General features: G+C 44.4%; 1 pseudogene; it reads right to left on the bottom strand.

The window, feature by feature from the left end:
• Positions 5,080 to 5,635, bottom strand: LOC100419713 (MIA SH3 domain ER export factor 2 pseudogene; annotated as a pseudogene).

Here is a 15,821-nt window from a genome sequence, read left to right as displayed (position 1 = left end):
GCGTGCCCTGCTGAGGGATTCGCCATGGCCAATCCTATTAACCATTGAGTTCATCCCCTCTTAGCCGACTCAAGAACCAGCTCTCCCATACCGCGTTTTCATCTCTGTGCCTTTAACTCACTCTCTGTCTGGTTCCTGGAACGTCCCAGTCCCAGCTTCTCCTAGCTAAATTTTCCACCTCCACAGTGGAAGGAAGAAAGGAAGCAGTGGGAGGGGGAAAGAGGCAAGGAAAGAGATATGGAAGGAAGGAAAGACAGAAGGAGAAAAGAAGGGAGGGGAAAGACGGGAAGGCAGGTAGGTAGGGCTGCAGCTGGCCTCGGAGGATCTGCGCCTGGGTCCTGCCCCGACCCAGCCTCTCTCCAGCTCTCCCTGCTCCCCTCCCCGATGGGCAGTGGGGCATCCTTCATGTTGAGGGGCGGGGACGGTGCAATCATCTCCTAGATTTCATTCTCTGGATTTAGCAACCAGATGAAAAAGGAAGGTTCTCCAGCAGCAGTGGAGACTTCAGGGGAAGACTCTCCCCTACCTCCCAAAGAGCGGGCACTATGACGAAAAAAAGAGGAAAGGACGTGGCAAACTAAAACCACAGACACTACTACCGAATCTAAACGTAGCCGGACTTGGCCCATGTCTCTAAAAGCTGGTCAGTGACCCTCTTTGAGAAGCCAATAAGGAAGTGTAGACTGTCCTCAGGAAAAAATCTGCGTATAATTCCTGGGAGTTCATAGACCTCTGAAGCCATGATAGTCATGGTTGGATTGTTTTTAATTTCCAGAGCTGTGTAGATGGGAGGAGAGTGTAGATTGACGAGTGAGAGGTATGACAGTATGTCAGGAATTCCAGCCGCAGCAGTCCTGGCTGTGAGAGACTTTGTTTGTTCAATCAACTAAAACTTATTGAGACTAATAAGCCAACAAGTAACTTTTACATTTCTTTGTGGCTATGGTGCACAGAACCATTGGCAGAGAGGAAAAGATTTTGCCATTTCAAGTGTCCCTGGTGAATGAACAGCCCACAGATAATACATTGTTTAGGAAATAGTGGACTGGCTCATCAAATTCAAATTTACTACTTACATTTTCTAGAGAGTATAATATAATGAGAATAATTTATATTATCTTTATTTTAAAAAACTTGAAGTTTATATCAAGATGCAATTTGAGCAAAAGTAAAAGTGCTTATGAAAACATTTTAAATGGCCGGGCGCTGTGGCTCATGCCTGTAATCCCAGCACTTTGGGAGGCCAAGGCGGGCAGATCACCTGAGATCGGGAGTTCGAGACCAGCCTGACCAATATGGAGAAACCCCATCTCTACTAAAAATACAAAATTAGCTGGGTGTGGTGGCACATGCCTGTAATCCCAGCTACTAGGGAGGCTGAGGCGGGAGAATTGCTTGAACCGGGAGGCAGAGATTGTGGTGAGCCGAGATTTCACCACTGCACTCCAACCTGGACAACAAGAGCTAAACTCCGTCTCAAAAAAAAAAAAAAAAAAAAAGAAAAGAAAACACTTTAAAGTGATAATTTTACGCTTTTTTTTGTCTTTTTTTTTTTTTCCTTTTTCTGGAGAACGGGGTCTCGCCATATTGCCCAGGCAGGTCTCGAACTCCTGGGCTCAAGCTATCCTCCCGCCTCTTGCCTCCCTGAGAGCGGGATTACAGGCGTGAGCCACTGCGCCCGGCCAAAGTGATAATTTTAGTGAGATGTAATTCACCTACCATAAAATTCACCCTTTTAAAGTAAAAAATTCAGTGGGTATTTTTTTTTTTTTTTTTGATGGAGTCTTGCCCTGTCACCAGGCTGGAGTGCAGTGGTGTGATCTCGGCTCACTGCAACCTCCGCCTCACAGGTTCAAGTGATTCTCCTGCCTCAGCCTCCCGAGTAGCTAGGACTACAAGCGTGCACCACCATGCCCAGCTAATTTTTGTATTTTTAGAGATGGAGTTTCACCATGTTGGCCAGGATGGTCTCGATCTCTTGAGCTCGTGATCTGCCCGCCTCGGCCTCCCAAAGTGCTGGGATTACAGGTGTGAGCCACCGCACCTGGCCTTCAGAACATTTTTATCACCCTAAAAAGAAACCCTAGGCCAGACATGGTAGTTCACGCCTGTAATTCCAGCACTTTGGGAGGCCAAGGGTGGCGGATCACCTGAGGTCAGGAGTTCGAGACCAGCCTGTCCAACATGGTGAGACCCTGTCTCTACTAAAAATGCAAAAATTAGCTGGGCGTGGTGGCGCGCACCTGTAATCCCAGCTACTCAGGAGGCTGAGGCAGGAGAATCACTTGAACCCGAGAAGCAGAGGTTACAGTGAGCCGAGATCACACCATTGCACTCCAGCCTGGCTACAGAGCGAGTCTCCATCTCAAAAAAAAAAAAAAAAAGAAAAGAAAAGAAACCCTATAGTCTTTAGCAGTTACTCCCAATCTGTCTTCCCCCCAAGTCCCTGGCAAAATTAATCTGCTTTCTTTCTGTACAGATTTGCCTATTCTGGCCATTTCATATAAATGGAATCATGGGCCAGGCGCAGTTGGCTCACACCTATAATCCCAGTGATTTGGGAGGTGAAGGCAGGAGGATCTCTTGAGGCCAGGAGTTTGAGGTTATAGTGAGCTGTTACTGCACTGCTGTACTCCAGACTCAGTGACAGAGTGAGACCTTGTTTCTAAATAAATAAATAGTTTTAAAAAATAAATGGAATCATGCAATGTGTGACCCTTTGTGACTGGCTTCTTTCACTTAGCATAATGTTTTCAAAGTTTATCCAGGTTGTAGCATGTTATCAGTATTTCATTCCTTGTTTTTTGTTTTTGTTTTTGTTTTTGTTTTCAGACAAGGTCTTACTCTGTCACCCAGGCTGGAGTGCAATGGTGCGATCTCACTGTAGCCTCAACCTCTCTGGCTCAAGCAATCCTCCCACCTCAGCCTCCCAAGTAGCTGGGACTACAGGCACATGCTATCACACCTGGCTAATTTTTGTATTTTTGGCAGAGACCGAGTCTCGCTATGTTGCCCAGGCTTGTCTCCATCTCCTAGGCTCAAGCAGCCCTCCTTCCTCAGCTTCCCAAACTGCTAGGATTACAGGCCTGAGCCACTGCGCCTGGCCCATTCCTTCTTACTGATGAATAATATTCTATTTTATGGATATATCGTGTTTTATTTATCTATTCATTGGTTGATAGATATTTGGGTGATTTCTACTCTTTAGCTATTATAATACTGCTGTGAACATTTGTGTACACATTTTTGTGTGGACATATATATGCTTTATTTTCTCTTGGGTGTGAAATTTCTGGGTCATGTGGTAACTCTACGTTTAACATTCTGAGGAACTGTCAAATTATTTTCAAAGTGATTGCACCATTTTACACGCCCATCAACAACCTCTAAGAGTTCCGATATTTCTATGTCCTAGCCAACACTTGTTATTGTCTGTCTTAAGTATTCACTCCTTGTGTTTTTTATTTGCATTACCCTAATGACGAATGATGTTGGTTATCTTGTTTTTTTTTTTTTTGAGACGGAGTCTCGCTCTGTTCAGCCCAGGCTGAAGTGCAGTGGTGCGATCTCAGCTCACTGCAAGCTCCGCCTCCTGGGTTCACGCCATTCTCCTGCCTCAGCCTCCTGAGTAGTTGGGACTACAGGCGCCCGCCATCGCGCCCGGCTAATTTTTTGTATTTTTTAATAGAGATGGGGTTTCACCATGTTAGCCAGGATGGTCTCGAACTCCTAACCTTGTGATCCGCCCACCTCGGCCTCCCAAAGTGCTGGGATTACAGGCGTGAGCCACCGCGCCTGGCAATGTTGGTTATCTTTTCATGTGCTTATTAGACATTTGTATACCTTCTTTGGGGAAATGTTTATTCTAATCTTTTGTCCATTTTTTAATTGGGTTATTTGGCTTTTGTTGTTGAGATGTAAAAAGTTTTTAAAACTAATAAAATATTTTTCTAATTTTTTTTAAGGCTAGGGCGTGGTGGTATGCACCTGTGGTCCCAGCTACGAAGGAGGCTGAGGTGGTAGGATCGCTTGAGCTCAGGAGATGGAATGCACCACTGCACTCCAGCCAGGAAGTGTAATGGTTAGTTTTATGTGTCAACCTGGCTAGGCTATAGTCCCCAGTTACTCAATCTAACACACTAATCTAGGTGTTGCTGTAAAAATATTGTGTAGATTTGGTTGACCTATACAATCATTTGAAGTTAAGTAAAGGAAATTATCTTTGATAATTGGTGGGCCTCACCAATCAGTTGAAGGGTCTAACAAGCAAAACAGGTTTCCCTGAGAAGGAAGAAATTCTGCCTGTGGATTGAACTGTAGCCTCAGCCCCAGCCTGAGAGTTTCCAGCTTGCTCTGCAGATTTTAGACTTGCCAGCCCCCTCAATCATATAAGCCAATCCCTTAAAATAAATCTCTTTGTATATGTATATATCTCCTACTATTTCTGTTGCTCCGGAGAGCCCTGACTAATGCAGGGAAGAAGAGGATGTCTTCCTTCCATTAACTCCCAATTTGAATCAATTGGAAACACCAGGTTTGGGAATGAAGGAGGAAGGCCTGGCAGACAAGGAGATCTGAGGGGAGGGTGTTGAGAGCCTCCCGTCTAGAGGAAACGGTACCCCATGTCTAGAGATGGGAGGTGGTGAAAATGTTACCTGAACAATACTCCATCTGGATCATCAGATGAATAAGGACTTCTAGAAGCTCAAGTTTAATCACTGTTTTCTTTATTCTTTGGTTTTTGTTTTTTTGAGACAGTGTCTTGCTTTGTTTCCCAGGCTGGAATGCAACGGCGCGATCTCGGCTCACTGCAACCTCTGCCTCCTGGGTTCAAGTGAGTCTCGTGCCTCAGCCTCCTCAGTAGCTGAGACTGCAGGTGCGCACCACCACACCTGGCTAATTTTTGTATTTTCAATAGAGACAGGGTTTTGCCATTTTGGCCAGGCTGGTCTTGAACTCCTGACCTCAGGTGATCCACCCACCTCGGCCTCCCAAAGTGCTGGGATTACAGGTGTGAGCCACCATGCCCAGCCTCTTTATTCTTTATCTCATCTTTGTGATCTCTAGTTTTGAGATGAGGAGCTTTCTTTCAGCCTCCTGTACTCTCAACTAACAATCATGAGCTTTTAGTTCAAGGGAAATAACTTGGTTTTGAGAAGAACAAATGATCCTGTTGCACTGTGCTACAAGGTCTTTGACTTGCTTTCTGAAGGTCTTCAGCTCTTTATAACAGGCTCATCTTGGCATTTGCTTCAGAACTTTCTTCCTCTTGCTCCAATAATGACCTTCCCAGACAGATCATTTCTCAAGAGACGACACTGCTTTGTCTTGACAAAGTTCAGTCACTTCATTTCCTCTCTGCAGAAGATTTTGATCTGCACTTTCAGTCGAGGTTTGCTCAGCCTGAAGATTTTTCACCTGATCTGTCTTGGCTTTTCTGTTTTCTTCTTTAGCAATGTTGATGTAGAATTGATTTTTCTCCCATCTGGGATGTTTAAATGTACACTTGACTTTTCAACATTAATTTCTTCCTGGCTCCTCTTGTCTGGTCATAAATACTCTCTTCACCTGCAGATTCTAAGTTATTACCCATGTTCTCTTCTCCAAGGGAAGCTATCACATCTTTTATCTTTAGGCCAGGCATGGTGGTATGCACCTATAGTCCTAGCTACTGGGAAGGCTAAGGCAGGAGGATTGCTTGAGCCCAGGAGTTCAAGGGAGCAGTGAGCTATGAGAGCGCCACTGTACTCCAACCTGAGCAAAAGAGATCTTGTCTCAAAATAAATAAATAAACAAACAAACAGAAAAATTCTGCCCCAAACCAAGATTACTATTAACACATGTAGTATCACAACACACATTAACTCTCTCCCATTAATTCCCCAGGAGAGTAAATCTTAGTCTTACATTGTCAGATACTTCTCCATAGAATTTTGTTGCAGTGGGCCAGGGGTGGTGGCTCATGCCTGTAATCCTAGCACTTTGGGAGGCTGAGGCAGGTGGATCACTTGAGGTAAGGAGTTTGAGACCAGCCTGGCCAACATGATGAAACCTCGTCTCTACTAAAAATACAAAAATTAGCTGGGCGTGGTGGTGCATGCCTGTAATCCCAGCTACTCAGGAGACTACTCAGGAGGCTGAGGTAGGAGAATTGCTTGAGCCTGGGAGGCAGAGGTTGCAGCAAGCCGAGATCGCACCATTGCACTCCAGCCTGGGCAACAGAGTAAGTGAGACTGTCTCATTAGAAAAAAAAAAAAAAAAGAACTCTGCTGCAGCATCTTCTAGGTTTGTCCATGGTACAGATTCGTGGTGGAGGTTGCAGTGAGCCGAGACCCCGCCACTGCACTCCAGCCTGGGCGACAGAGTGAGACTCCATCTCAGAAAAAAAGAAAAGAAAAAAAAAAGAACAAATGAATGAGGGAGTGAATGAAGCCATCATTTGTCATCTATGAAGATTCACATATAATACTTTGTTGAATTGACAGATAATTCTTTTAGGAAAACTTAAAACTCCTTTCAGAACTCAGTGTAGGACGGTGGAGAGAAGACGAGGTGGTGGCAACTCTGGCCTGGGTTCCTCTCTCCCTCTTGCCCCACCCCCCACACCCACTCTTGCCACCCCCACTATGAGATTTGAACAAATTGCTGAACGCTTCTAAGTCTCCTTTCCTCTTCTGTAGGTGGAGAGAGCACTGCCCTCCTCATGTGAGTGTTGGGAGGATTAGGAGGATGACACAGAGCCCAGCAGGTAAGGGCTTCACTACCTTTTAGTGAACTTCTTTATTCCATTATCCAAGACATCAGCAACTCTTTCTATTGGTCAAATGTTTGGTTATTTTACCCAGGTTGAGCCAGATCTCAAAATACGAAAATAAGAAAATAAAATAGCTGCTATAAACTTAAAAAAATAAAATAAAATTCTTTTTACTGCTAGAAATAATATGTCTAGTAAACAGAAGAGATTCTAGTAAAAACTGCTAGAATTAATAAAAGAATTGGGCAAGGTGACTGCATATAAGATAAATATATAAAGCAAAAAACCGGCTGGGTGCGGTGGTTCACGGTTGTAATCCCAGCACTTTGGGAGGCTGAGGTGGGTAGATCACCTGAGGTCAGGAGTTCAAGACCAGCCTGGCCAGCATGGTGAAACCCCGTCTCTACTAAAAATACAAAAATTAGGGCTGGGCATAGTGGCTCACATCTGTAATCCCAGAACTTTGGGAGGCTGAGGCAGGTGGATCACAAGGTCAGGAGATCGAGACCATCCTGGCTAACACGATGAAACCCCATCTCTACTAAAAATACAAAAATTTAGCTGGGCATGGTGGCACGTGTCTGTAGTCCCAACTACTTGGAAGGCCGAAGCAGGAGAATTGCTTGAAACCAGGAGGTGGAGGTTGCAGTGAGCCGAGATTGTGCCATTACACTCCAGCCTGGGTGACAGAGTGAGACTCCGTCTAAAAAAAAAAAAAAAATAGCTGGGAGTGGTGGCAGGCACCTGTAACCCCAGCTACTTGGGAGGCTGAGACAAGAGAATTGAGAATTGCTTGAACCTGGGAGGTGGAGGTTGCTGTGAGCCAAGATCGTGCCATTGCACTCCAGCCTGGGCGACAAGAGTGAAACTCTGTCTCAAAAAAAAAAAAAAAAAAAAAAAAAGCGAAAAACCTGTTTTGTTTGTTTGTTTGTTTGTTTTTAAAGAAAACTTTACAATGAGGAATAAAAAGCAGCTGCAGACTGTTAGCTCCCCTTCCCTCCATTCCCTCCTCTGGAACACTGGCCCCCTAGGCCTGGTTGGTTCAGCAGATCTTCATTGCCTTTATATATTTGGTTTGGGACAAGGTGTGGGGTTCTTGTGAGAGGCTATTTTATCTGGCGTTTCTTGTCGTTCTCAGCAGGAGCACTCAATGCCAAAGGCTGCTGTATTATACTTGGAAGCAAAAGTGTCAGTCTCTTTTTACTCTTAAAATGAATACCAGGAAACAAAATGGTGGTGGGGATTATACTTATGATAGAAACCAAAACTATGAAATACTTCAGAATACATTTTCTTTAGAAGAGTATTGAACCCATAAAAAGAAAACCGCGGCTAGGCGCGGTGGCTCACGCCTGTAATCCCAGCACTTTGGGAGGCTGAGGCAGGCGGATCACAAGATCAGGAGATCGAGACCATCCTGGCTAAAACGGTGAAACCCCATGTCTACTAAAAATACAAAAAATTAGCTGGGCGTGGTGGCGGGTGCCTGTAGTCCCAGCTACTCGGAAGGCTGAGACAGGAGAATGGCTTGAACCCGAGAGGCGGAGCTTGCAGTGAGCCGAGATAGCGCCACTGCAGTCTGGCTGGGCGAAAGAGCGAGACTCCGTCTCAAAAAAAAAAAAAAAAAAAAAAAAGAAAACCGCAAAATCTTATTAAAAGACATAAAACAAGATTTGAATGAACGAAAAGACACATCATGTTTTTGTATGAAAAGATATAAATTCATAAAAACTCTTTAAAATTACTATATAAATTTCATGTAGTTCCAGCTAGAATATTAATAAATTTCTTTTTAAAAAAAGAATTGTCAAAAGTATGAAAAATAAGAACAGAGGAGGAGACCTGTTCTCCAGAAATCAGGATTGATCAGAAAACCAGTGTAATCAGAGCAATTGACAGCAGAGACTGCTAGTCTATCCTCAGTATTCATTCTTCCTTAGAACCCTAGATCTACATCTGGGTACATAGCCACTTGGAATAAAGACCACATCTCCTAGCCTATCTTTGAACTTAGTGTGGCTATGTGAGTAAATTCTGGCAAATGAAATACTGGCAGAAGTGTCCTGTGCAACTTCAGAAAATGTCCTTAGAGGGAGAGAGACATCTTTCTTTGTCTCTTTCACCTTCTGTTGGTTGGAAAGCAGCCATTTTGGCTGGAATTGGAGCAGCCATCTTGGACTGGGAGAGAAAAGCTATATGTTGATGGTGGAAGAACAACAAGACAGAAGGAGCCTGGGTCCCTGAAACTGTGGAAGAGACACAGGACTTATCTCTGGACTTCATTTATGAGAGAGAGAAATAAACGTTTATTTAGTTTAAGCCACTATTACTTTATTTTTTCTGTCAATCACAGGCAAAGCTGATTCTAATTGATATAAAATTTGGCACCTGGAAAAAGACTACTACAAGTGACAGAACCTAAATGCTTAATTAATGAATGCAGGTGGGTGGCAGATGGCAAAGACTCAGACATTGCTGACTGGGAAGCTTGTGATCCTTGTTATGCAGTGGTCAAACATTTGATCAAAACCTTGTGTTTCAGTTAACTATTATTGTGTGGCAAACCACCTCCAAACTTAATAGGTTAGAACAACAAGTGTTTTATTACCTCTCACCATTCTGTGGGTTGACGGTGACAGCTGGGTGGTTCTTCTGGATCTCACAGGGGTATTTCATGAGGTTACAGTCAGATTGAAGCTGGGGATGAATATGCAAGTTGACACCTCCTTGGTGTCACATGTGTGGCACCAGGATGGCCAAAAGCTGTGACCTCTCCTTCCACGTGGCTTAGCCTGGGCATCATAACATGGCGGCTGGATCCCAAGAATGCGAAAGTGGAAGACCTTCTTAAGGCTTAGGCCTAGAACCGGCAAGTGTCACTCTGCCACAGTCTATTGGTTAGAGTGAGTCACAGGCCCAGCCCAGATGTAAAGGGAGGATACTACACAAGGCTGTGAATACTGGTGACATGGCTCTCTAGGGACAATCTTCAGACAATAGCTACCTCACCTTGGAAGGCAGATCATGGACTGACTGAGGTTGTAGCAATGCAATGCAGCCATGTAGAAATGATAAGGAAATTCAGGGCCGGGTGCAGTGGCTCACATCTGTAATCCCAGCACTTTGAGAGGCCAAGGATGGTGGATCACCTGAGGTCAGGAGTTCGAGACCAGCCTGACCAAAATGGTGAAACCCCATCTCTACTAAAAATACAAAAATTAGCCAGGTGTGGTGGCACGTGCCTGTAATCCCAGCTATTCCAGAGGCTGAGGAATTGCTTGAACCCAGGAGGCGGAGGTTGCAGTGAGCGGAGATTGCGCCACTGCACTCCAGCCTGGGCAACAAGAGTGAGACTCTGTCTCAAGAAAAAAATAAAAAATAAATGATACGGAAATTCAGAATGTTCCTGTTTTCTGGCTTCTTCTTGCTACTTTTAGCAAGTCCTGTGAGAGAGAAAATCAAGCTAGAGTTAGCTTCTTTGCATAGCTTTGCCAAGGGAGGAAGTCTTTGCTATAACCTATAATCTGGGTTGATTGAGAATCCTGTAATTTTGAGTTCTGCAGACTTGAAAAAGCCATTGCTTCTGCACCGAAGCAGTTATAAGTGGTAACTGCAAAGTGGTAGCCTTAGCAGGAATTAAGACTGGTGCCCTCTTTAGAAAAGCTGTGAGCCTGTTGGCAAAGAAGGAATTAAGGATGGTGCTTTCCCACTCAAGCCGGTTGTTTCAGATGGCTTGAAGAAAACCATCATTAAGTTTGGGGAATGGCTGGTAAGTAAAAGATCAGAGTTTTCAGGCTTGGAAACCATGTCTAGATAAGATTTTTGGCTACAATTATTCACGTTGGAACTGACCAGAACAAAATGGATTAAAGGCCTATGACATTTTTGAAGGAATAGTGCTATCAATGAAACCCCAAACTCTGCCTGCAAGAGCCTGTGACTGCTCAACCCTCAAAACACTCCTTGGGCTCTCAAACCTGCCCCAGCAGTAAGTGAACTTGGGTGCCTGTGAATTTCCCAAGAAGGGAACATTCTTCATGGATGGCTTGTGTGCTGCTTCTCAGCAATGTGGCCCATCTAGGAATTAAGTGAGGACTGTTGACTTACTCATTAGTTTAACCAAATGCTTCCATGTACCAGGCATGGGGTTAGTACTGGGGTTGCAGTTGTAAAGGGAGGAGCAACAGCTGAGAGTTTAGAGGGGGTGGTGGTAGGACCCCTACCCACTCAGACTCATCATCCACAGCTGTGTCTCCTTGGGGAAGCCTTTTGAAGGGATCCAAAGGCCCCACCTCTCCCGCTGTTGTTGATCTCACTTCTGGGTATCCTGGCTGCACCAGCTTCCTTCTATGTCCTAGATATGTCAGCTTTGTTGGATTTCCCAGCTCATCCCTGTATCTGGGTCTGCCATTGACATTTGCTAATACACTGGTTAAATAGGTTGCATGGGTTGGAGGGACTCATGGCCCTGGTGTCCTCAGACAGATTATCCCCAAGATTGGACTGTGCAAGGCAGTCGCTTGCAATCTATTAAGCCATGGCCCTTTTATTTTATTTTACTTTTTTTTCTGAGACAAGGTCTTGCTCTGCCACCCAGGTTGGAGTGTAGTGGTACAATCATGGCTCACTGCAGCCTTCACCTCCCAGACTCAAGTGATCCTCCCACCTCTGCCTCCCAAGTAGCTGGGAATATAGGCATGTGCCACCATGCCTGGCTAATCTTTTATTTAAACTTTTTTTTTTTTTTTGTAGAGATGAAGTTTTACTATTTTGCCCAGGTTGGTCTCAAACTCCTAGGCTCAAGCAGTCCTCCTGCCTTGGCCTCCCAAAATGCTGGGATTACAGGCATGAGCCACTGTGCCCATGCATGGCCCTTTTACACAGTGCAAAAAACTCCATGTGCCACCCAAGCAACCCATTCCACATCAATGACTGGTGATAACAGCAAGCATGTTTGAGATTATGTTTTTAGTTTTATGCTTTAAAAGTAGGGGTATGAATAATTTAGACATGAACTCTAGTCTTCAGGTCATAACATGGCACAAATCCCAACTCTTTATAGATAAATATGCCTGATCAGGAGGAACTCTCAGAAACAGCCTGTATCAAGCAGGGCTTTTGGTTGTACACACAGGAAGTTGGGTCTCGCTTAAGCAAAAAGTATGTTCTCTCTCTCTGCCCCTGGTCTTCCTGTGTCTGCTTCATTCTCTCCTACCTACCAGCCCTAGGAGAAAAAAAATCCCACAGAAGGATACTGATTGGCCCAGCTTCTGTCATGTGCTTATCTTCTGTTTGTTTGTTGTTGTTATTTTTGAGATGGAGTCTTGCTCTGTCACCCTGGCTGGAGTGCAATAGCGCAATCCCAGCTCACTGCAACCTCCGCCTCCCAGGTTCAAGCAATTCTCCTGCCTCAGCCTCCCGAGTAGCTGGGATGACAGATGTGTGCCAACATGCCAAGCTAATTTTTGTATTTTTAGTAGAGACGGGGTTTCACCATGTTGGCCAGACTGGTCTCAAACTCCTGACCTCAAGTAATCCACCCACCTTTGCCTCCCAAAGTGCTGAGATTACAAGTGTGAGCCACCTTGCCCAGTCTGTCATGTGCTTATCTTCTAGCCAATGGGCAGGTCCTGTTTCCTACAAAAGGGTAGGAGGGGAGGAAGGGCTGCTGGGGGGACTTAAACAATAGCCTACACATTTGAGCAGAGACAGCAAGGCTCCAGGGAGCAGAACTTTATTGAGGAGTTACTTGAATGGCTACTTTGGTTATGTAAATATAGCATAAATTGATACCGGTGTTTTGGGAGAAGGGTGATACAGGCCTCTGGTGTCTTAAAGAAGACCTTTCCTCTTACCCATTGATCTGGTCCCTGGGAAGGAAGTAGAGAACTTTACGTTTCAGCCAGTGAGCCTCCCAGAAACATTGAGGTCATATTTTTATAACATTCTTGGTTGATCTGGTACTAGCTGAGCCTGCAGGAAAAGATGCGAAAGGCCTCAAAGTCTCTCGCTGTAAGGAATACTGGAAACATAGCCTTGCTTATGCTCAGCTCATGGCTCCCTCCAGAAAGAATGAATTTCTATGTTTTGAGAATACATGCAGTGACTGAACAGGAGAAAGGAACTCAGAGAATCCAGCCTGCTTATCTGGCTGGGGGCAGCACTCGGCAGGAGGGCCTGAGTTGGAAGAGCCCCTGTGGTCTGTTCAGGGCTGTGAATCAGCCATGGTCCAGGGATCCTTGCACTTGGTGGAATTTGGGAGCAGGACTATCCTCTTTGTGTGAAATACGCCTCCAGAGTTCTTGGACAATTCTAGGTCTGGTGACCAAGAGAGATATGTCAAAACCCCTGCTATAAAACAGAGATAAAACAATTGACCATATGATCCAGCAATCCACTTCTGGGGATACCCACACACGAGTTGAAAGCAGGGACTTGAACAGATATTTGTACACCCGTGTTCATAGCAGCATTATTCACAATAGCCAATAGCTGGGAGCAACCCAAGTGTCCATCAATGGACCCCTCTTCAGAATAATGCTTTGTTTTGTTTTGTTTTTGAGACTGGGTCTCACTCTATCACCCAGACTAGAATGCAATGGCAATGGCAATGGCGCTATCATAGCTTCACTGCAGTCTTGATCTCCCAGGCTCAAGTGATCATCCTGCCTCAGCCTCCTGAGTAGCTGGGACTACAGGCATGTACCACCATGCCTGGTTAATTATTATTTTTTTTATTTTTAGTAGAGACGTGGGTCTCACTACATTGCCCAGGCTGGTCTCAGACTCCTGAGCCCAAGGGATCCTCCTACTTTGGCCTCCCAAAGGTGCTGGGATTATGGGAGTCAGCCACCATGCCTGGCCCAGAAGCATGTCTTTAAGTATGAAAAACCATAGGATTAAAAAGTTTGGAAGTTGATCATGCAAATTGGGTCATTCTCATCAGACCCAACTAAAACAGAGTCAAGAAGCCAGGGGGAGAAAACATTTAGGACACATTACATTGCAGTAGAATATAATTTCCTGCAAGCCTGGCTGCTGAAACTGCCTGCTATAACCTGAGACCAGTTTGATCTATAACTGCTGAGATAACTTCCTGAAACTCTAGGACTAATTTTGCCCACCGCCATCGCTTACCAATCAGAACTTGCCAACTCCCCAGAACCTTCCTCGTGCCAAGGAACTTTCTCAGAGAGCAATATGTAACATTTCTCTTTTTTTATAAAACCTCCAACCTTCTGTTTGCTCTTTGGTCGTACTAAAGAGCACCCAGTCTGCATGCATGCCCCAAATTGCAATTCTTTTTTCTCAAATAAAAATTTAAATTTAGAGATTTGTCTCTACTTATTTATTAATTATTGTTATTATTACTATTATTATTTTGTAGAGACAAGATCTCCCCGTGTTGCCCAGGCTGATCTCAAACTCCTGGGCTCAAGCAATCCTCTGGCCACCTCCCAAAGTATTCAGATTACAGGCATAAACTACCAAGCCTGGGCCGTCTCAACATTTTTATTTTGACTTCAACAAAAGAAAACTAATATGACTGAAATTTAATTATCAAGCTATTTTTAAAAGCATACTTGAGATATAGTAATATATGTGCTTCTTCCTTCACACGTTCAACAACCAGACCTAGCAGCAGGTCTGATAAATCCTAATTTTGAAGGAATAATGAGAATGAAGGATATTTAAAGATATGTGGAACAACTGTAATGTAGTGTGAAAATAGCTGTGAATTCTGTTAATGACATAGTCACAGTTACTACTAATACTACTGCAGTTGTCTACATTCGTAATCGAAGGAAATGCTAATTTTCATTATAGGTGAGAAAAGAAAATAACTTTTATCTGAGGAATGTGAGTCCTTTTAAATTATCAGATCCAGGGAGACATTAAAATGAGACAGCAGGCCCAGCATGGTGGCTCATGCCTGTAATCCCAGCACTTTGGGAGGCCGAGGCAGGCGGATCACTTGAGGTCAGGAGTTCGAGACCAGCCTGGCCAACGTGGTGAAACCCCGCCTCTACTAAAAATACAAAAATTAGCTGTGCATGGTGGCGCAAACCTGTAATCCCAGTTACTCAGGAGGCTGAGGCAGGAGAATCGCTTGAACTGGGAGATGGAGGTTGCAGTGAGCTGAGATCGCGCCACCGCACTCCAGCCTGGGTGACAGAGCAAGACTCCATTTCAGGAAAAAAAAAAAAAAAACAAAAAAAAAAAACCATACCATGTACCCACAAAAATTAAAAAAAGAAAGAGACAGGAATCTCATCCTACTTCCCCCTTGAGCTATGTATTCATCTCTTAGAACTGCTTGCTATTGCCACAAGTAGCTAGAAGTTAACCTAATAATACTACACTGGACCCTGTAACCCACACCCTATAGCTTAACAATGTATAGCCAATTGCTAATCGATGTTATTTCTGTAATCCAATGAGAATTCCTGACAAACAACTTTGCATCTGCACACTTCCTGTCCCCTTTTTTTGCCTTAAAAAATCCACTTGTAACTGCTGCTAATTGGAGTGTGTATTCAGGGCAACTTTAATCTATGCTCCCGAGTTTCAAGCTTGGCCCATTTCTCTACTCATTTTGCCTCAGCTTCTTCTTTTTTAAGTTGAAAAGGGTTAGAGAATATTAAATGTAATTATTTCCCCATCCAAGTTCATAGACCTCATAATTACATGAGTCAGTGGATCCCACATTAGAATGCCCCCCTTTTTTTTCTTTTTCTTTTTCTTCTTTAAAAAAAAAAAAAAAAAGACAGAGTCTTGCTCTGTCCCCCAGGCTGGGAGTGCAGTGGCACGATCATAGCTCTCTGTAGTTTTGACCTCCTGGGCTCAAGTGATCCTCCTGCCTCGGCCTCCCAAAGCACTGGGATTACAGGTGTGAGCCACTGTACCTGGCCTAAAATATCTTTTTCTAGGGTTGGTGCTCATAAGCACTATGATATCTGCTCCACTTATTAAAGCGACCCTGTTTTCTGGAGGTTGCCTGGCATCCCAACTGCCTGCAGCCCAACATCCTCAGATGCATCCCTTTGAACACAGCTCTAACACCACA

The sequence above is a fragment of the Homo sapiens genome, chromosome 11 (assembly GCF_000001405.40).
Source record: "Homo sapiens chromosome 11, GRCh38.p14 Primary Assembly".
Lineage (NCBI taxonomy): Eukaryota > Metazoa > Chordata > Mammalia > Primates > Hominidae > Homo > Homo sapiens.
The sequence above is the reverse complement of the archived record's forward strand: the minus strand, read 5'-3'. Positions and strand labels throughout refer to the sequence as shown.